General features: G+C 45.2%; 2 protein-coding genes across 5 annotated transcripts in view, besides 2 other annotated features; one reads left to right on the plus strand and one right to left on the minus strand.

Moving 5' to 3' along the window:
* Positions 1 to 10423, minus strand: part of EIF2B1 (eukaryotic translation initiation factor 2B subunit alpha) — a 13281-nt gene extending 2858 nt beyond the window's left edge. The window contains exons 1-7 of the mRNA NM_001414.4: positions 10282 to 10423; positions 9082 to 9183; positions 7134 to 7270; positions 6906 to 7022; positions 3781 to 3893; positions 3162 to 3230; positions 1524 to 1599 (exon numbers count right to left, since the gene is read on the minus strand). Of these exons, the coding sequence (NP_001405.1) occupies positions 1524 to 1599; positions 3162 to 3230; positions 3781 to 3893; positions 6906 to 7022; positions 7134 to 7270; positions 9082 to 9183; positions 10282 to 10294 (627 nt within the window). The 5' untranslated portion in view covers positions 10295 to 10423. The remainder of the gene's footprint in view (positions 1 to 1523; positions 1600 to 3161; positions 3231 to 3780; positions 3894 to 6905; positions 7023 to 7133; positions 7271 to 9081; positions 9184 to 10281) is intronic.
* Positions 10450 to 10639: an enhancer, noted in NCBI's record as "active region_7273". NCBI's record gives its function as "activates an Ori minimal core promoter by ATAC-STARR-seq in GM12878 lymphoblastoid cells {active_cell/tissue: GM12878}" and the evidence as "EXISTENCE:reporter gene assay evidence [ECO:0000049][PMID:35858748]".
* Positions 10566 to 22161, plus strand: part of GTF2H3 (general transcription factor IIH subunit 3) — a 28776-nt gene continuing 17180 nt past the window's right edge. For 3 of the 4 annotated variants that reach the window (NM_001516.5, NM_001271866.2, NM_001271868.2), the window contains exons 1-2: positions 10566 to 10609; positions 16001 to 16080. In NM_001516.5, coding sequence (NP_001507.2) covers positions 10597 to 10609; positions 16001 to 16080 — 93 coding nt within the window. In that variant the 5' untranslated portion in view covers positions 10566 to 10596. The remainder of the gene's footprint in view (positions 10610 to 16000; positions 16081 to 22161) is intronic. The other variant, NM_001271867.2, reaches the window with a different exon arrangement.
* Positions 21789 to 21984: a silencer, noted in NCBI's record as "fragment chr12:124129599-124129794 (GRCh37/hg19 assembly coordinates)". NCBI's record gives its function as "represses an EF-1alpha promoter that drives an FKBP-Casp9 reporter gene in an ReSE screen in HepG2 liver carcinoma cells {active_cell/tissue: HepG2}" and the evidence as "EXISTENCE:reporter gene assay evidence [ECO:0000049][PMID:32094911]".

Here is a 22161-nt window from a genome sequence, read left to right on the forward strand (position 1 = left end):
TAATCCCAGCTACTAGGGAGGCTGAAGCAGGAGACTCGCTTGAACCCGGGCACTGGAGGTTGCAGTGAGCCAAGACTGTGCCATTGCACTCCAGCCTGGACAGCAAGAGTGAAACTCCATCTCAAAAAATAAAAAAATTTAAAAAAACAAGTGTTGGCAAGGATGTAGAGAAATTGGAACCTTTGTGCTTTGCTAGTGGGAATGTAAAGTAGTGCAGCTGCTGTGGAAAATCATTAGTTTCTGAAAGTTAAATATATAGTTACCATGTGACTCAACACTCTGCCTGCAGACCTCCGCCTCCCAGGTTCAAGCGATTCTCCTGCGTCAGCCTGCCAAGTAGCTGGGATTACAGGCACCCGCCACCATGCCCAGCTAATTTTTTGTATTTTTAGTAGATATGGGGTTTCACCATGTTGGCCAGGCTGGTCTCGAACTCCTGACCTCAGATGATCTACCTGCCTCAGCCTCCCAAAGTGCTGGGATTATAGGCGTGAGCTACTACGCCCGGCCTTATGTTACATATATTTTAACTAAAAAAAGCTTTCATGAAGCTTTTCTAAATTAAATAATGGAGAGAGAGATTGTAATAAATTGAGGTCAAATGTGCTCAATTAAAATGAAAACAAATGACAGGCCGGCCACAGTGGCTCATGCCTGTAATCCTAGCACTTTGGGAAGTGGAAAGATTGCTTCAGGCTAGGAGTTCAAGACTGCAGTAAGCTATGATCACTGTACTACACTACAGCCTGGGCAACAGAGTGAATGTGTCTCTATTTTAAAATATATATAATATTTATATATAAATACACGTATTTTATACATACATACTTTATATGTAAATATATAAATAATATTTTAAAAATATTTGTGTATATATATTATGTGTGTGTATATATATGCATAAATAAAACATACATATACACATAAATAAAGCAAAAACCAGACAAACCCCAATTCCAATTCAAGCCAATTTTGTATAAATATAAATTACACTTTTTTTTTTTTTTTTTTTACTGAGACAGGGTCTCACCATCGCCCAGGCTGGAATGCAGTAGTGTGATCATAACTTACTGCAACCTCAAATTCCTGGGCTCACGTGATACTCCTGCCTCAGCTTCCTGGGCAGCTGGAACTACAGGCAAGCACCACCACGCCCAGCTAATTTTTCTAATTTTTTGTAGAGACAGGGTTTCACTATGTTGCCCAGGCTGGTCTTGAACTCAAGGCCTCAAGTGATCCTCCCACCCTGGCCTCTCAAATTGCTAGGATTACAGGTATAAGGCATCACACCTGACCAAATTACATTGTCTTCATTTATGTAGATCAATCTAAAAAAGATTTGACTGAAACTGGACTGCCCATTGCTATGACTTACGGGAAATGGGCAACAACTCAATACCATGATGAAGTCCTGAAGTGAAGCAGGATTAGAAGGAACCATAATCAACACTGCTGTGGTGTCCTAGGTCAGCAAGACACCTCCAAGTCTTGAGCAGGGAACTGGGGAGAACTGATGCTCTTACCTTGTTAATAATTCCTCCGTTTTCAACAACTCCTTCAGCACCAACTATGACAAGATCTGCTTTCTCCATGATGTAGCTAAGGGGAAAAAAAGCTTTTCATGCTTTATTTTCTTGGCTCTAACGAGTAGCATCATCATCTGCAAAGATCAATATTCCATTTCTATCAAGGTAAGTTCCTCCCATAACTACCTGTTTTTTTTAAAGCGCACTTAACACGCGATAGACCCCTGGCATTGTTACCAGGGGTGTTTTCTGGTCATGACCCTACAATGAGACATACACTTCACACTGCCGCCCGGCGCATGCACACGTACATATGTGTGTAAGTGAAGCAAGAATGTCCTGACACAGCAGTCTTCCTTCCAAGTGTGGTATCCTCTACTTTCTTTTCTACTTCAGCACAAACCAAACAAAATTTTAAAATCTGATGAGATCTGAAGTTGGACAAAAGTGTTATGCAGTTTTAAAAATCTTTCTTTTTTTTTTTGAGACCAGATCTCACTCTGTTGCCCAGGCTAGAGTGCAGTGGCATGATCTCAGCCCAAACCTCTACCTCTTAGGCTCAAGCGATCCTCCCATTTCAGCCTCCCAGGTAGCTGGGACCACAGCATATGCCACCATGCCCTAGAGATGGGGTTTCGCCATATTGCCCAGGCTGGTCTCCAACTCCTGAACTCTAGCGATCCACCTGCCTCAGGTATGAGCCACTGTGCCCAACCTTAAGAATCTTTCTGGTAGGATGAAGGCCAATTTAGTCTTTAAAATGAGCAATTAGTAGAATTCCTCAAAATCCTTACTTTTGAACACATTCCTAATTTCCTTAATCATCTATCTTGTTTTCATTCCAAGAGATCACTACTCTTGTTTTTTCTTGGGAAATACACTGACAATCCCAGGAACATGTGACTTGGCTTTGCGACACAAGCTGCATCTTCTAGGTGAGACAAAGCATCCCAGTATGCCACTGAGGACAGCCAGGTCTTCACAGAAATACAGAGCCCTGATTACCCTCTGCTGATCCCAACTGACCTTTGTACTTTGCTCTTAAAATGCATTTGCACTGGCTGGGCGTGGTGGCTCACGCCTGTAATCCCAGCACTTTGGGAGGCCAAGGCGGGCAGATCACCTGAGTTCAGGAGTTCGAGACCAGCCTGGCCAACATGGTGAAACCCCATCTCTACTAAAAATATAAAAGAATTAACGTGGCATGGTGGCATGCGCCGGTAATCCCAGCTACTTAGGAGGCTGAGGCAGGAGAATCGCTTGAACCTGGGAGGTGGAGATTGCAGTGAACCAAGATCATGCCATTGCACTCCAGCCTGGGCAACAGGGCAAGACTCCATCTCAAAAAAACAAAAAACAAACAAACAAAAACAACAACAACAACAAACTCAACACTTACAGCCATAAAGCTATAGACACAACTCCCACTCTCCCCAACATCCTACAGCTCTGTCTTCTTTGTATGCTATCACAACCTCATAACAAGCTTGCTGGTTTAGGGCAGCTATTAATTAAGAAGTAGGACGCTACCTGGTGTGGCTTTATGAACGGGACTCAAACTTTCAATCTGAAAACTTGCTGTAAGCCAGCATGGGGTGGGGGAGGTGATTATGGCTGGGGAAGATGGGCACTCACCCGACAGCAGCATCTAGCACCACAGTGACAGGGACGTTGAGGTGGCAGAGGGCTTTGGCCATTTTCTTACTGAAGATGACATTTTGAGAACGTTAGAGAAAGTACAAGACAGTACCACAGTGATGTATGTCACCTAATGTGGACAGTGGATGTTTGCTTGAAACTCACATTAATACTAATGGGTTAAGGGGCAGATCCCAATACTTTGGACTAAGGAAACAAGAATTTGAGTTCTTTAGAAAGAAGTATTTTTGGAAAACTATACTCTTAGACTCTGGGTAAGAGATGTAAATTCAGGAAAAAAGGAGGAAGTTTTGCTTTGATTATCGTCTAGAGAGAGGGAGATATAAGTTACCTATTCCTTGATAAAAATCTTCATCAATACAATCTCTGCTCTTCCACGGAGTTAACTACTTAAGTGAAACCCCTAGATCATATACTGCGGCCTGCTGCAAATTCAGTGATTTTTCTTCCAAAGGCAGGAAAAGGTACAATGAAAGGCAGTGCTGACTGCTGGCAAGCTGGGGGCACATTCTGGTTCTGATCCTGTTGGACTGTAATCCGCAGTTTGCTCTGTAAAATTATGGCTGGGCACATAACTGAACAGAAAGGTACTTGCCCTGACAAATCAGGCTGTGACTCTGTGACGTATACACTAAATCGCTTCTTGGCCGCCACGGCTGCTTCCAGGACTCTCAGGACCACTCTGGAGTAGGCGTGAGTCAATATTGTCTGTGGACCGAGAAAGCTTTGTCAAAGGGGCAGGCTCCTTGCTGCTCACTCACACCCTCTGCACTGCGGCACGTGTTCCCGACACCCTAAGCATCTCTGTACACTTTCTCACAAATCAACCACAACCAGAAAGGAGACCTGATGGTACAGTTTCCATCCCATGTGCAAGCTAAAAAAGTTTCTGCCAGGTCTCACATCCTGTAGCAGGTGCAGAAATGGAACTCCCACACAGTGTTACCCAAAGGATACAAAAGCCTGGATAGCTGAAGGCTCCATGAGGTTCCCTTGGGTTGGTTTTCCTATTTCTAAGACATGGTTTGCACACGCAGGCCTACAGGAACCAAGTAGGTAGCAGAAGTCACTGCAGCAGGTTGGGTGGGGCCAGCAGCAAAGCGAAAGGCTACAGAAGGCTGGGTGTGGTGGCTCACGCCTGTAATCCCAGCATTTTGGGAGGCCAAGGTGAGAGGACTGCCTGAGCCCAGGAGTTCAAAACCAGTCTGGGCAACTTGGCAAGACCTCATCTCTACAAAAAATAACAACAAAAAAAATTAGCTGGATGCAGTGGCATGTGCCTATAGTCCCAGCTACTTGGGAGGCCGAGGTGGGAGGATCACTTGAGCCTGGGAGGTTGAGGCTGCAGTGAGCCATAATCATGCCAGTGCACTCTAGTCTGGGCAAGAGAGTGAGACTCTGTCTCAAAAAGAAAAGGCTAAGGAGGGCCAGGACTCCTCAGCCCCAGCTGGCGTCATGTGGCCCCAAGATTGCCAGACCAGGTGATGTTTCAAAAATCCAATTTTGAAATGATGGCTAACTAATTTTTTTGAATTTATAAACACTGTTTGGGGTAATCACAACCTATCTGTGGCGTGGATGCAATGTGTAGACACTTAGACATAATCTGTTTTCTTTTCTTTCTTGAGCCAAGGTCTTGCTCTGATGCCTAGGCTGGAGTGCAGTGCAGTGTTCATGGCTCACTGTAGCCTCGACATCCTGGGCTCAAACGATCCTCCCACCTCAGCCACCCCAGTAGCTGGGACTACAGATGTGCGCCACTGTGACTAGCTAATTTATTTTATTTTTTGTAGAGACAGGGCCTCTCTCCCTATGTTGCTCAGGCTAGTGTTGAATTCCTGGCCTCAAGGGAACCTCCGGCTAGGATTATACACATAAGCCACCACAGTAGGCCCATAACCTCTTTTTTTTTTTTTTTTTTTTTTTTTGGTGAGACAGGATCTCACTCCAATTGCCCAGGCTGAAGTGCAGTGGTATGATCTCAGCTCACTGCAGCCTCAACTTCCTGGGTTCAGGTGATTCTCCCACCTGAGCCTCCCAAGTAGCTGGGACCACAGGAGTGTGCCACCACGCCTGGCTAACTTTTTGTATTTTTAGTAGAGATGAAGTTTTGCCATGTTGCCCGGGCTGGTCTTGAACTCCTGGACTCAAGCAATCTGCGTGTCTTGGCTTTCCAAAGTGCTGGGATTACAGGCATGAGCCACCATGCCCAGCCTCCATAACCTCTTTTCTATGGAAGAGTGCAGAAGACAGAATAAGACAAGGGGGCAGAACCAGCTCTCTAGCTCCTTTCTGGGTCTCACCTGAGAACCCGTTAGGAAGGCAGGTTCGTGGACCCTAGCCCAAACCCACTGAATCCCGATCTGCATTTAATAAGACCCCAGCTGACTCCTCTGCATGTGCAAATCTGAGCAGCTCTGCTATAAATTTTGTCTAAATCAGTCCTGAGTAGGTGACTGCAGGTAAAGTACATACATACCACACTACACTAGAGCAAACGAAACCCGCACAATACTGACGGCACAGCAGGTCTGTGGAAGGAGAAGGCCCCAGCGAGAGGAAGTCACAACCTTGCCTCCACTTGCCCAAAAAAGGCTTCGTTTGCAACTGGCTTTTCTACAAGTTTCACTCACATCTATTATGCCATTTATTTAATAACATACTTCAAAGGTTGGGAAGGGGCTAATAAAATGGAGGACAAGATTTAAGAGTCAAAATGCAAGTAAATGATTTTATGATCAGGGGAGGCCTAGGTGGCAAAAGGACGTATGCTGGTGGGAGGGGCATTATGATAGTTTCATTACACCTTTACTGGAAGATGGTTCAACTTGCACCTCCTGTCTTTCCTCACTTATAAACACTGCGTGGCTTTACATCTCTGTAATAGCATCTAAAATGAAGTTAAAAAGAAAATTTCCCTCAATTTCCCTCTATTGCTAACCTTCACTAAGAAAGTCCTCAGTGTTAACCAGTGACAAGAGCTGTTCTGTTAATTCAGATTTACTACACATACAATCATAAAAATACTTCTTTAGTAAAACACTGTATTAAATCAAGAATCAGGGCCAGGTGCGGTGGCTCACGCCTGTAATCCCAGCACTTTGGGAGGCCGAAGCGGGTGGATCACAAGGTCAGGAGATCGAGACCATCCTGGCTAACACAGTGAAACCCCGTCTCTACTAAAAATAAAAAAAATTAGCTGGGCTTGCTGGTGGGCACCTGTAGTCCCAGCTACTCGGGAGGCTGAGGCAGGAGAATGGTGTGAACCCAGGAGGCGGAGCTTGCAGTGAGCTGAGATCGCGCCACTGCACTCCAGCCTGGGTGACAGAGCAAGACTCCGTCTCAAAATAAATAAATAAATAAATAAAATAAATCAAGAATCACACGTGCTGTCCCACTGTCCCTCTCTGCCTGTTTACAATGACAACCATCTCTAATAACAAGACCTACATTCATGCAGCACTTACTAAGTGCCAGGCACAATACCAAGCCCTCACACCCCTTGCCCCTTACATGTCTTGCCTCATTTAATCCTCACAACAACCCAAGGAGGTAGGTACTATTGTCATCCTTATTTAACAGATGAGAAAGCTGCACAGACAGGTTAAGTTACTTGTTCAAGTCTCCACAGCAAGTGAGTGGCAGAGCCCGGATTTTACCCCAGGCAGTCGGACTCGAAACCGTTGCTCCTCCTTACCACCATGATGATTATCCACTCACCGCTCCATCTTTGATGAAAGTATGGCACAGATCTGCAATTTTGTTTCTTGACAGTGATATTCTCCTGAGAAAAAGTTCTCCCCGCTCAATCATGATCTTTTTACATTTGGAGTAATCCTAGGAAGAAAAGAGCAAACTGAGGGGACAGGGAAGATCCAGTTAATGCTGAGAATGTCTGTCACTAAACAGAGAAGTGGAAAGGTAACCCCAGGGAGAACAGGCACTTACGGAGTATTCCAGGGAGGCAAGACTGATGAAGCGGAGGAAGAGCTCCCCGCCAGAGGACACTGCCACAGAGGAGTCCACACCACACAGGGTTTCTATGGCACTGGTGAGATTCGCCCTCAGACCCTGGATTGTCTCCCCTGGAATGATCCAACAAGGAATGTGATGTTCACATTAGGGCCACAGCCCCGACCTGTATCTTCAATTCATTCATTCATTCAGTGAATATTTACTAGGTACATACTATATACCAGGCACTATTCTAGATGCTAGGGATACATCAGTGAACAAGACAGGTAGGGTTCTGCTGTGATGGAGTTTTGATTGTAATAGAGGAAGCGGATAGTAAACAAGCACACATAGAAATAAAGCTGGGTGGCTGGGCATGGTGGCTCACGCCTGTAATCTCAGCACTTTGGGAGGCTGAGGCATGGAAAGACATTAAGTAGCAGCGGCAGATGAGGTCTGCAAGGTGGTATGGGTGAGGCTAAGGTTGTTTGGATGTTATTTTAAGAACAATGGGAAGACACTGGAGGTTGCCTTAAAGACATGTGTCTCTAGGCAAGCCCTTCAGATTAAAGGCTGCATTATTATTTTGCTTATACAAGATTTCATGCTATACCCAGATGCTTACATTTAGGGTGCTGAATTAGGGGATCACAATAAATAATACTAATACCAGAATTTATTCTGGAATATTCCCTGTAGCATCTGTACAGAATCTGGCACAAGGTGGAGGCCTAATAAACACTTATAAAGCTGAACTGCTACTGAAATTTACGCATCATGGTTAACACAATATAACATAGTCACTCTCGATTCAAAGTCTGTTTCACTTATGAAAGGGATCCTTTTCATGACAACGTAAGAGCTCTCTCCAGATTGAAAGGTCTGAAATGAAGGCAGAAGCTGAGCTTGGAGCTGTATTACTACTTTATGCAGGCAAACATGCATCTCTCACTTTCTACATTTCTAAGAGTCATTAGAAGACTTTCCTGGCCGAACATGGTGGCTCACGCCTGTAATCTCAGCACTTTGGGAGGGCGAGGCGGACGGATCACCTGAGGCTAGGAGTTTAAGACCACTGTGGCCAACATGGTGAAACCCTGTCTCTACTAAAAATAAAAAAATTTGGCCGGGCCCGGTGGCTCACGCCTGCAATCCCAGCACTTTGGGAGGCCGACATGGGCGGATCACGAGGTCAGGAGATCGAGACCATTCTGGCTAACAAAGTGAAACCCCGTCTCTACTAAAAATACAAAAAATTAGCTAGGCATGGTGGCGGGCGCCTGTAGTCCCAGCTACCTGGAGGCTGAGGCAGGAGAATGGCATGAACCTGGGAAGCGGAGCCTGCAGTGAGCCAAGATGGCACCACTGCACTCCAGCCCGGGTGACAGAGCGAGACTCCGTCTCAAAAAAAAAAAAAAAAATTTTGCCAGGCGTGGTGGTGCATGCCTGTAATCCCAGCTACTCAGAAGGCTGAGGCAGGAGAATCGCTTGAACTTGAGAGGCAGAGGTTGCAGTGAGCCGAGATTGTGCCATTGCACTCCAGCCTGGGAGACAAGAGCAAAACTCTGTCTCAAAAAAAACAAACGGCCGGGCACAGTGGCTCACACCTGTAATCCTAGCACTTTGGGAGGCCAAAGCGGGCAGATTGCCTAAGCTCAGGAGTTCGAGACCAGCCTGGGTAACATGGTGAAACCCTGTCTCTAAAATACAAAAAAATTAGCCGGACAAGGTGGTGCACACCTATAATCCCAGCTACTCAGGAGGCCAAGGCAGGAGAATTGCTTGAACCCAGGAGGCGGAGGTTGCAGTGAGCCAAGATCTCGCCACTGCACTCCAGCCTGGGTGACAGAGTGAGGCTCCGTCTCTTTAAAAAAAAAAAAAAAGAAAAGAAAAAAAAGACTATCCTAAGTCCCAGAGTGTTAACAGATGACTCTCTATATACCTTTATCTCTCTTCAAGAACTCCAGCAACGTCCGGATGGCAGCCACTGCTGAGGCCATGTCAGGATCTTCTTTCATCTGAGACTTAAAGTATTCAATTAACTCTGGAAAAAGGGAAAAAAGTGATTCACCTAATTCATTTAGCAGCCTATAAGGCAAGAGAGCTTGTTAATGACTGTTGACTTTAAGAAGCAAACAATTTAAAAAATACTTTCTTTTTAGGGTATTTGGTTTCAGGGATGCAATAAATGTTGATGGGAATAGAGAAAATACCACTTTGCTGTTTGCAAGAGCTCTTTTTTATTTTGAAAAAGCTACTGGTGGCCGGGCGCGGTGGCTCACGCCTGTAATCCCAGCACTTTGGGAGTCCGAGGCGGGCGGATCACGAGGTCAGGAGATCGAGACCATCCCGGCTAAAACGGTGAAACCCCGTCTCTACTAAAAATACAAAAAATTAGCCGGGCGTAGTGGCGGGCGCCTGTAGTCCCAGCTACTTGGGAGGCTGAGGCAGGAGAATGGCGTGAACCCGGGAGGCGGAGCTTGCAGTGAGCCGAGACTGCGCCACTGCACTCCAGCCTGGGTGACAGAGCGAGACTCCGTCTCAAAAAAAAAAAAAAAAAAGCTACTGGTGTGCAAGGCCTAAAAATTAAGCCCGAGTAAATGATGATGAAAAGTCATTCTCTCTTCAGCCTCTTTGGTCCTAAAATCTGAGAGGATCCCAGAGTCAACCATCTTGCCAATTTCTCCTGCACCCCTCCAGACAGTCTATGCTAATACATGTCTATTCACATACACATATATGTTACAAATATTATACATGGAGTTCCACCCACTCCCCTTTATTTCTTTACATGAAAAGTGTATTAGTTTGCCCTTGTTTTTCACTTAATAACCATACTAGATGAGCACATCAAATATGCCTTATTCATTCTAATTTTAATGACAGATCCAACAAGGCAGGAAGGAGACTGGCACTGGGAAGGAGCGTATGTGTGGGAGGGATGCCTGCAGATACTGCCAGGGCGCATCCCTGAAAACAAGAGCAGCGCGAGGGATTTAGTTGTGACTCTGGAAACACAACCAGCGGAGCAGCCTGAAATTCAAAAGAAATCTCTTCGGGAGCTCAGCCTGGATGTGAGAGGTTGGGGGGACCCCTGAACGGCGCTGCTGTAGCCTAGCAGCCCTGGCCTGTCTTGATTTACCCTTGTCGTCCATGGCGTCCTCCTGCTGCGGAGCCCCAGGGGACCCGAGCCGCCCGCGCTGTCTCGAACGGGTCCGCCGGCCGCGCCGCCTGCGAGCCAGTCTGACAGCGCGCTGCACACCTCCGCACCCCACTTCCGGCGCACTTCCGTACCCCTCTTCCGGCGCACTCCCCGCACTCCACTTCCGCAGATTAGGGGGCTGGCACGAGTCACAGCACCTCGTGCGTCACTTGGCGGCGCCGGACGTTGGGCTGCGCAGGATTTGAGACGCTCCCCTGACCACCACTTGCTCTGCGCTGAGGTGCTGGGACAGCCATGGTTTCAGACGGTGAGGACCCTGCAGGGCGGGACTTCGACTCCGGGGCTCGGCTGTCTCGGTCCGGCTACGACTGGCCAGATGGAATGTGTCTTTTGGGCTGGATAGAATCCGTTTGGTCTTTAGAGGAGTAGCCAAGGCATTCAGTCATTCATTCAGTAAATAGTTTTGGATCGCCTCCTGTGTACAGGCATTATTTTCTGGATTTTAGCAGAGATCGTGACAGACAGGGGCCTTAGTGGAGGTTACAGTCTACTGGGTGAAACAGATGACAATAAATAAAAATAATTTCGGCCGGGTCGCACCCCGGTGGATTAGGCCTGTAATCCCAGCACTTTGGGAGGCCGAGGAGGGAGAATCGCTTGAAGCCGGGAGTTCGAGACCTGCCTGGGCAACACAGCCAGACCCCATCTCTACAAAAAAAATGAAATATTAGCCGGGCGTGGTAGCGCGTGTCTGTGGTCCCAGCTACGCGGGAGGCTGAGGCGGGAGAATCACTTGAGCCCAGGAATTCGAGGCTTCAGTGAGCTATTATGGCAGTACTGCACCCAGCATGGCCGACAGGGCATGACCTCGTCAATAAAAAATTAAAAAATAAATTATTTTTCAAAGGATGAAAAGAGCTATGAAGATGATGTAACAGTACGGTCCTAGTTACAATAGTACATTGTGACTAGGATTGAGGAGGAGCTGTTTTAGATAGGGGCCTAGGAAAAGTGCAGGATATTGAAACCGACTTGAATGATTATGTGAAGTTCTGGGGGAAGTGCACTTTAAGTGCATGGGCCCTGTGGCAGATTGAGCCACCAAGTTACACTGAGAAGGGAGAAATGGAGAGCTTGCGGGTAGAGGATGGTGGGGAGACTCATTCATACATTAAACTACCACATACAGAGTCAGATGTCTTGAAGATTTAAAAGGAGGCTAGAGGGATGAGATCAGAGAACCAGCCAGTTTCAGGTCATGCAGGGCCTTATTGGCCGTGATAGAGAAGTTGGCCTTTATTTTTAGGTGCAATACAAAGACATTGTAGAGTTTTAAGCCAGAAAGTGTTATGATCTGGTTTGCAATTTTAAAAGATCACTGTGGCTGTTGTGTGGAAAATGGACTGTGGGGAGCAAGAATAGAGATAGGGGAGTCCTTTCAGGAACTGTAATAATTGTCCATCCTCTCTTAATTGATGTGAAACCATACCACAACCCTGTGAGGGAGGCAGGCCTGGCATTGCTCCTGTCTACAAATGAGGTAGCGAACTAAAGAAGGAAATTCACAGGGTCATTGCATGTGTATAGATGCACACCTTTCTTTACAGGCAACGCTTTTTCTGTCTGGCAGACACAGTTGTATTAAGTGCTTCTGTCCTAGGTGCTTTGTTGTGTGATTTACACATTTTTTTGTTTTGTTTTTCTATTAAAAAAGAAAAAAAGTGGCTGGGCACAGTGGCTCACGCCTGTAATCCCAGCATTTTGGAAGGCCAAGGTGGGTGGATCACTTGAGGTCGGGAGTTCGAGACCAGCCTGGCCAACATGGTGAAACCCCGTCTCTGCTCAAAATACAAAAAAATTAACCGGACAAGGTGGCGCACACCTATAATCCCAGCTACTCAGGAGGCTGAGGCAGGAAAATTGCTTGAACCCAGGAGGCAGAGGTTGCAGTGAGCCAAGATCGTGCCACTGCACTCCAGCTTGGGCGACAGAGCAAGTCTCCGTCGCAAAAAAAAAAAAAAAAAAAAGGTAGAGATAAGGTCTCACTGTTTTGCCCAGGCTGGTCTCAAACTCCTGGGCTGAAGCAATCTTCCTGCCTCGACCTCCCAAAGTGTTGGGATTACAGGCGTGAGCCACTACACCAGTTCTGATTTACACACATTATTTTATCCTAGGATTAGCAAATTCCATCATTTTTTAAGAAGTCCACAGTCTTAAGTGGGCAGGACTGGGACGAGAGATCAGAAGCACAACTAACTGTAAAATAAAATAGTAAGTGCTAAGTGTCATTAGAAGAGAGAGCTGTGGGTTGTCAGAGGTGGGCAGTGGGGCAGTGAAGAGCCACAGTCTTTATAGTCAAGCAGATCTGTCTTTAGAACAGGGCTTTGGCCTTGCCACTTGTTAGCAGGCCATATGTGACTTAGGACAAGTTACTTTCATTTGCAGAATACGAATACCATATATCATATTTCAGCTAATCTAAGATAATATTGATTATGAGATGTGCCCTTATTTAATATACCATTAAGAAAGAAAAAATGCTGCTAATCTTAATGATAAAGATACCATCCAGATGTCAACAACTATTCAATGTAAAAAACAAGGGGTGGGGGTCATCTTATAATTGATGAAAAATGGCAGGAAAATGTCCTTTGCTGGGTGGTTGTCAGGGTGGAATGGGATTTTGGGATTGCAGATTCCGGTGCTTAGTGCAGAGGAGGCTGGCATTCCTTCTGCTCTGAGATAGGGGAGTCATGAAGAAGAAAGAGTTTGCGCTGGTTTGGGGCTTTGAGGAGTAATTGGGATTTGAATACACAGAAATCAAAGATGGGGTAGAGATTCTCCTAATGTAGAAGACAGGACTGCAGGAAGCAAAGTACGGAGGGAGGAAAGGCATTACTGCTCTTTGCTATTAAATGAGCATCCTAGAGCCGGGCACGGCGGCACATGCCTGTAATCCCAACACTTTAGGAGGCTGAGGTGGGAGGATCACTTGAGCCCAGGAGTTCGAGACCAGCCTAGGCAACAAAGTGAGACCCTGTCTCTACAAAAATTTAAAAATTAGCCAAGTGGCTGGGTGTGGTGGCTCATGCCTGTAATCCCAGCACTTTGGGAGGCCAAGGCGGGCAGATCACCTGAGGTCGGGAGTTCGAGACCAGCCTAACCAACGTGGAGAAACTCTGTCTCTACTGAAAATACAAAATTAGCTGGGCGTGGTGGTGCATGCCTGTAATCCCGGCTACTCAGGAGGCTGAGGCAGGAGAATCGCTTGATCCCGGGAGGCGGAGGTTGCGGTGAGCCGAGATCGCGCCATTACACTCCACCCTGGGCAACAAGAGCAAAACTCCGTCTCAAAAAAAAAAAATAATAATTAGCTGGATGTGGTAGTGCACGCCTGTTGTCCCAGCTGTGTGGGAGACTGAGACAGGAAGATCACTTGAGCCCAGGAGGTCAAGGCTGCAGTGAGCTATATTCGTGGCACTGTACTCCAACCTTGAGACCTTGTCTCAAAAATTTGTTTAAAAATACATAAATAAATAAATGAGCATCCTGGGCCTTTCATAACAGTGTATACTCACAGGTTTGTATGTCTGTCTGTCACCTCAATTAGAGTATAGTCTCTTTGAGGGGTTGGACCCAGTATCCCCAACACCTAACACTGGTAGTGTGAAAGTTTGTTGAAGGATTAATGTGTTTGGGGTGGTGCGTGCATGTAGTCCTTACTACTGGGGAGGCTGATGCAGGAGGATCACAAGCCCAGGATTTCAAGACCAGCCTGGGCAATTTATTGAGACCCCCCCATCTCTTAAAAAAAACCCAAAAAACAAAAATCCAAATGAATGATTAATGTGTTGTGGTAGCCTGTTTAGTTTAGAGAATAGAATTCCTCTTAACAGTAAAATCTTGACGTAGGAATTGCTTTTCCCTCTGTTTTTTAACTTTTTTTTTTTTTTTTGAGACAGAGTCCCACTCTGTCACCCAGGCTGGAGTGCAGTGGCAAGATCTCAGCTCACTGCAACCTCTGCCTGCCAGGTTCAAGTGATTCTCCTGCCTCAGCCTCCCGAGTAGCTGGAATTACAGGTGTGCACCACCATGCCCGGCTAATATTTTGTATTTTTAGTAGGGACGGGGTTTTGCCATATTGGCTAGGCTGGTCTTGAACTCCTGACCTCAGTGATCTGCCCACCTCAGCCTCCCAAAGGGCTGGGATGGGCGCCCAGCCTGGTTTTTTTACCTTTTAAAAAGTGACTCTTAATTACGATTGGCCTTGCTGCTACATGATTTGATGAGTACGGGCCAAATTGACAGCTACGCCTCCCTTTAATTTTTTGCTCCTGAAATTCTACCACTGGGATTCCTACTACTAGTTAACCAGTGCCTTCTGTCCTTGACCAGGCATTCAGAATGCAGTAGGTGGTTTTGTTTGTTTGTTTGTTTGTTTGTTTGTTTCCAGACGGGGTCTCATTCTGTCTCCCAGGCTGGAGTGCATTGGCAGGAACATGGCTCACTGTAGCCTCGACTTCCCGGTCTCAAGCGATCCTCTCTCCTCACCCTCCTGAGTAGCTGGGACTACAGGCATGTGCCACCATGCCCGGCTATTTTTTTTTCCCCGAGATGAAGTCTTGCTCTGTTACCCAGGCTGGAGTGCAGTGGTGCAATCTTGGCTCACTGCAGCCTCCGCCTCCCGGGTTCAAGTGATTCTCCTGCCTCAGTCTCCCGAGTAGCTGGGATTACAGGTGCTTGCCACCAAACCCAGCTAATTTTTTTTTTTTTTTGTATTTTTAGTAGAGATGGGGTGGCTCAACATGTTGGCCGGGCTGGTCTTGAACTTATGACCTCAAGTGATCCCCCCTCCTTGGCCTTCCAAAATGCTGGGATCACAGGCATGAGCCACCGCGCCCGGCCCTAATTTTTATATTTTTAGTAGAGAAAAGGTTTTGCGATATTGCCCAGGCTGGTCTTGGGAACTTCTGAGCTCAAGCCATCTGCCTGTCTTGGCCTCCCAAAGTGCTAGGACTACAGGCCTGTGCCACCACACCTGGCCCTCGTTCAGTAGATATTTATTGAGCAGCTGCAATGTGCTAGGCAGTGTGGTAGGAGTGAGGATAAGCAGTGAACAAAAGAGACAAAAATTCCTACCCTCACAGAGTTTACATTTAGTGCATTGGAGATATAGTGGTTCAGGACGTAGACAAGAACTTGCTAAGGGCCCACTGTGCTTTAAAGCTTTTTTTTTTTTTTTTTTTTTGAGACAGAGTCTTGTTCTGTGGCCCAGGCTGGAGTGCAGTGGCGTGATCTCGGCTCACTGCAAGCTCCGCCTCCTGGGTTCACGCCATTCTCCTGGCTCAGCCTCCCGAGTAGCTGGGACTACAGGCGCCCACCACCACGCCCATCTAATTTTTTGTATTTTTAGTAGAGACGGGGTTTCACCGTGTTAGCCAGGATGGTCTCGATCTCCTGACCTCGTGATCTGCCTGCCTCGGCCTCCCAAAGTGCTGGGGTTACAGGCGTGAGCCACCACGCCCTGCCCAGCTTTAAAGCTTTAACTGGGTCTTCTGTTAATCTCATAATTATAAGGTGATAAACATTTAAGGCATATAGTGGTGCTCTGGATTTAATTTATGAATTGGGAATGTTAGCTTTGATTCATTTTTATGGAGCTAATGTTTTAAATTTTATTTCTTGTTAATATTTTCAGAAGATGAATTGAATCTTCTGGTTATTGTAGTTGATGCCAACCCAATTTGGTGGGGAAAGCAAGCATTAAAGGAATCTCAGGTAAGACTGCTTGAGGAGGCCTTTGGAGAATTCTGGTTTAACTGAGTGTTTATATTGCTTTTTTAAAAAATGGCTTTATTAAAGTATAATTTACATACTGTAATATTCAGCCACTGTACAATTCAGTGATTTTTTTTAAGTAAATTTGCGAAGTTGTGTAACCAGCCCCACATTTCTGCTTTAGAATATTTCTTTGACTGCGTAGCGTTCCCTCATGCCTGCTTGCAGTCAATCCCTGCTTCTATCTCCAAGCTGCAAGCAACCACTGATCTGCCCTCTATCTCTAAATTCCCTTTTCTGGACATTTCATGTATTGATTTCATACAATATGTGGTCTTAAAAAATACTTTCTATTTTGAAATATTTTATTTTTAAATAATATAGACATAGGAAACCAGAAAAGATACAGAGAGGTCCTGTGTACCCATCACTCAAGTTCTTTCAGTGGTGACATTTTACATAATGATAGTACAATTTTGAAACTATCAGTGCAATCTACAGACCTAAGCAGATTGCAGGTTTTACATGTGCTCACTTGTGTGTATGCGTGCGTGCGTGTATGTGTGTGGTTCTGTGCAGTTTTACCACATTCATTGATTTGTGTGTCCATCAGCACCACCATCTCATGCCTCAGCCTCCCGAGTACTTGGGACTACAGGTGCGTACCACCATGCTCAGCTAATTGTTTGTATTTTTAGTAGAGATGGGGTTTTGCCATGTTGGCCAGGCTGGTCTCGAACTCCTGGCCTCATGTGATCTGCCCGCTTTGGCTTCCTAAAGTGTTGGGATTATGGGAGTGAGCCACCGCACCTGGCTGATTCTTCATGTTTGTTCGTTTGTAATCTGGTCCCACTCTCGACCACACCTTCTTTGCCTGTCTGTACTCCCAGGCAACTCTTGATCTCTTTGTGTCACTGTAGATTAGTTTGGATTTTCTAGATTTTTTTCATGTAAATGGAATCAAACAGGTTATAGTGGGGAGGTTTTTGTGGCCTTTTTTTTTTTTTTTTGAGACGGAGTTTTGCTCTTGTTGCCCAGGCTAGAGTGCAATGGCGCGATCTCGGCTCACTGCAACCTTTGCCTCCTGGGTTCAAGTGATTCTCCTTCCTCAGCCTTCCGAGTAGCTGGGATTACAGGCATCCGTCACCACGCCCAGCTAATTTTTTGTATTTTTAGTAGAGTTGGAGTTTCACCATGTTGGCCAGGCTGATCTCGAACTCCTAAACTCAGGTGATCTGCCTACCTCGGCCTCCCAAAGTACTGGGATTACAGGCATGAGCCACTGTGCCTGGCCTTGTCTGTTCTTTTTAATGACAGGTTAGCTGTTTTCCACTTTTAAATGGTTTAAAATAAAATCAGAAGAATAACATTTTTGTGACTTGAAAATTATATGAAATTCAAATTTCTGGGTCTATAAATAAGCCTCACTCATAAATTTATGTATTTTCTGTGGCAGCTTTTGCATTACAAAAGCAGAGGTGGGTAGCAATAAAGATTGCATGGCTCAAAAAGCCTAAAATATTTACTATCTGGCCCTTCACAAAACAAGTTTACTGACCTCTGGCCGATTGTGTGGTCTGTTCTGGAGAATGTTGCATGTCTACTTGAAAAGAATGTGCATTCTTTTGTTTCTAGTGAAGTGTTCTATAAATGTCTATTAGTTTAAGTTGCGTGATAGCGCACCTATAGTCCCAGCTACTTGAGGCGCTGAGGTGGGAGGATCACTGGTGCCCAGGCGGTTGAGTCTGCAGTGAGCCATAACTATGCCACTGCACTCCAGCCTGGGAGACAGAGCAAGACCCCGTCTCAAAAAATATAAAATAAAAAAATAAAAAAATTATCGAGAATGGAATATTGAAATGAAGTATTGTTGTTGAATTGTGTATTTCTTTTTTTTTTTTGAAATGGAGTTTCGCTCTGTCACCCAGGTCGGAGTGCAGTGGTGTGATCTCTGCTCACTGCAACCTCTGCCTCCCGGTTCAAGCGATTCTTCTGCCTCAGTCTCCCAAGTAGCTGGGACCACAGGCGTGTACCACCACGCCTGGCTAATTTTTGTATTGTTAGTAGAGACGGGGCTTCGCCATGTTGGCCAGGCTGATCTTGAACTCCTGACCTCAAGTGATCTGCCTGCCTCGACCTCCCAAAGTGCTGGGGTTACAGGCATGAGCCACGTGTCTGCCCCCGTTTTTTTTTTTGTGTGTTTTTTTTTTGAGACAGAGTCTCACTCTGTCACCCAGGCTGGATAGCAGTGCTAGGATTACAAGTGTGAGCCACCATGCCCATTTCCCCATATTTTGATAGCAGCAGTTAGTGTACTCACATTTAATATAATTATTAGTGTGGTTGCGTTCATATCTGCTATTTTGTTATTTGTTTTCTGTATGTATCATGAATTTTTTGGTTCTTTGTCCTCCTTTACTGTCTTTTGTGTTAAATAAATATTTTTTACGTACTATATTAATTCTTCTGTTGATTTGATTAATTCTTCTGTATATTTTTAGTTTTTTTGTTTGTTTGTTTGTTTTTTGAGATGGAGTTTTGCTCTTGTCGCCCAGGCTAGAGTGCAATGGCACGATCTCGGCTCCCTGCAACCTCCATCTCCCTGGTTCAAGCAATTCTCCTGCCTCAGCCTCCCGAGTAGCTGGGATCACAGGCGCGTGCCACCATACCTGGCTAATTTTTGTATTTTTGGTAGTGACAGGGTTTCACCATATTGGTCAGGCTGATCTCTAATTCCTGACCTCAAGTGATCCTCCCGCCTCGGCCTCCCAAAGTGCTAGGATTACAGGCATGAGCCACTGCACCCAGCCTTCAGTTATTTTCTTTTTCTTTTCTTTTTTTTTTTGAGACAGAGTCTAGTTTTGTCGCCCAGGCTGGAGTGCATTGACATGATTTTGGCTTACTGCAACCTCTCTCTCCCGAGTTCAAGCAATTCTCCTGCCTCAGCCTCCCGAGTAGCTGGTATTTCAGGCATGCACCACCACACCCAGCTAATTTTTGTATTTTCAGTAGAGACGGGGTTTCGCCGTGTTGGCCAGGCTGGTCTCGATCTCTTGACCTCGTGATCCGCCCACCTCAGCCTCCCAAAGTGTTGGGATTACAGGCATGAGCCACCACACCTGGTCAATCTCTTCTTACTTGTGATTCTATTTCCAAAAAAGATCATGTACACATGTACCAGAAGTTAGGACTTGAACATATCTTTTGGGGGGACATAATTCGACCCACAACAGTTGCTGTAGGGATTACTGTATGTATCTTATCATTGTGTACTTTAGATTAATACTCATTTAATTCCAGTAAAATATAGAGGCTTTGCTCCAATATAGATCCACTTCCACCCCTTCCCCATGTTCTTATTGTCATACATATTACACCTGCGCATGTTATAAATCTGATAACGCAGTGTTATAATTGTTACTTACACAGTTGCTTACACCAAGTATAAGCATCTTTTCTCTTGTTAACAAAAAATAAAAATATCAGACAATATTCATGTTAGAACTACACTCATTTTTCAGCTGAAACCATACTCTTTTTTCTTTTTTTGAGATGGCGTCTTGCTCTGTCGCCCAGGCTGGAGTGCAGTGGTGCAATCTCGGCTTACCGCAATCTCCACCTCCCGGGTTCAAGCAATTCTGCCTCAGCCTCCCGAGTAGCTGGGACTACAGGCACACGTCACCATGCCCAGCTAATTTTTTGTGTGTGTATTTTAGTAGAGATGGGGTTTCACCATGTTGCCCAGGCTGGTTGCAAACTCCTGAGCTCAGGCAGTCTGCCCGCCTTGGCCTCCCAAAGTGCTGGGATTACAGGTGTGAGCTACTACGCCCGGCCCAACCATACTCATTTTTCAATTAGCTATGGATACAAGAATTCAGCAAAAATCAACATAGGCATTCTGTGAGAATCCATTGACTTATGCAATTTACTATAAAGAGTATTGTGCATTTTACTGTTATTTGTAAATTGTGTGCTACATACTGCTGTATCAGTAATATTCGTATGTACTTGTGTACATGGGTACCTCGGTTTTGGGGAGCGAATGGTTAAACATCCGCCAGCACATCACTGCATGCTGCCCTGTTACTCCAGAAAGGCTGCGTTTGCACTCATCAGTGCTGTATGAGAGTTCCTTTTTTCTTGTACCAACACAAAATGTTCATTCTCCTTATTTCATCTTTTGTCAATATGAGGCAAAAAACAACGTAATCTCAATTTGCTTCCAGTGTATTTCGTGGCCATTTGTATTTCTCTCTTGGGACATCACCCACTTCTTTCTTTGGATATTCATAGTGTGTGGTTTTTTTTAAATTAATGATTTATGGACAGTCTTTTATATTAAAGGATTAACCCATTACTTGCCATGTGTTGCAACTGGTTTTTTCCAGTTTGTAACTTGTTTTCTTTCACTTTTATTTATATTGTCACTTTTCGCCAATTAGAAATTTTAATAGATTTAAGTTTTTTTTCCAGTAGGGTGAAATTTACCAGTGTGTTGGTCTATTTTTTGAGATGGAGTCTTTGTCACCCAGGCTAGAGTGCAGTGGCACGATCTCAGCTCACTGCAGCCTCCACCTCCTGGGCTCAAGCAGTCCTCCCACCTCAGCATCCCGAGAAGCTGGGACTGCAGGCACGTGCCAACACGCCCAGCTAATTTTTGTATTTTAAGTAGAGATAGGGTTTTGCCACGTAAGCCAGGCTGGTCTCAAACTCCTGACCACAGGTGATCTGCCTGCCTCGGCCTCCCAAAGTGCTGGGACGTGAGCCACCACGCCCAGCCACCAGTGTTCTGTTTTCTACCTGAAGTATTTATTTAAGAGAAACAGGCCATATTCCAGGATTATGAAAATATCTACTTATGAAGACTGAAACTTCAAGGATCATTTGTTTAGTTTGTTACTAGAGAAGTTTCTCTGAACATATGAGTACCAAAAAAAAAATACTGACTTATGTTTCTTAATAATATTAGTTCTTGTGGGAAGGTGAGCTCGAGGAAAGAAGGGATATTCTTTATTTGTTTTTTCAAACTTTAAAAGTTTTTAGGCTGGGCATGGTGGCTCACGCCTGTAATCCCGGCACTTTGGGAGGCCGAGGCGGGCGGATCATGAGGTAAAGAGATCGAGACCATCCTTGCCAATATGGTGAAACCCCATCCCTACTAAAAATACAAAAATTAGCTGGGCGAGGTAGCACAGGCCTGTAGTCCCAGCTGCTGGGGAGGCTGAGGCAGGAGAATTGCTTGAACCCGGGAGTTGGAGGTTGCAGTGAGCCGAGATCAGGCCACTGCACTCCAGCCTGGCGACAGAGTGAGACTCCATCTCAAAAAAAAAAAAAAGTTTTTAATTCATTTACCCACTAAGTATACTGAGCAACAACTATATTGTTCACTAAGTATATACCAGACGTACAGTAGTGGCTCAGTATAGTTAGTGAACAAATGAATTAAAAAATTGTAAAGGTCTCCAGTGTTTTCAGTATGTATTCATTATCTACTCCACATATAGTAATAGTTTGCTGGAAATTTTATCACAGAACATGTGACATGTTTGTTATTCTTTAAATGTTACACTGCAAATATTTGTGGAATATTGTACTGATGTAGAAATGATCTCATATAAGTACAATTAGAAAACTATAGTTTTCAAGTGTTTTTGTTTATGGCTTTGGAGGAGGGGAGCTCCTGAGCAAATTTTTAACAGTGAATAATTGTCTAAAATTTAAATGAAGTCTTTTTTTTGTTTGTTTGTTACAGGGTCTAGCTCTGTTGTCCAGGCTGCAGTACAGTGGTACAATCTTGGCTCACTGCAGCCTGGCTCTCCAGGGCTTAAGCGATCCTGCCACCTCAGCCTTCAGAGTAGCTAAGACTACAGGTGCACACCACCATGCCTAGCTAGTTTTGTTTTTTTTATAGAGCTAAGGTTTCATTATGTTGCCTAGGCTGGTCTCAAACTCCTGAACTCAAGCAGTCCTCCCACCTTGGCCTCTCAGGGTGCTGGGATTACAGGCTTGAGCCACTGCACCCAGCCTAAACGACATCTTAATTATGTCAAGACCTGACATGGTTATTTGGATAGCTAATTT

This window comes from Homo sapiens, chromosome 12 (assembly GCF_000001405.40).
Source record: "Homo sapiens chromosome 12, GRCh38.p14 Primary Assembly".
NCBI lineage: Eukaryota > Metazoa > Chordata > Mammalia > Primates > Hominidae > Homo > Homo sapiens.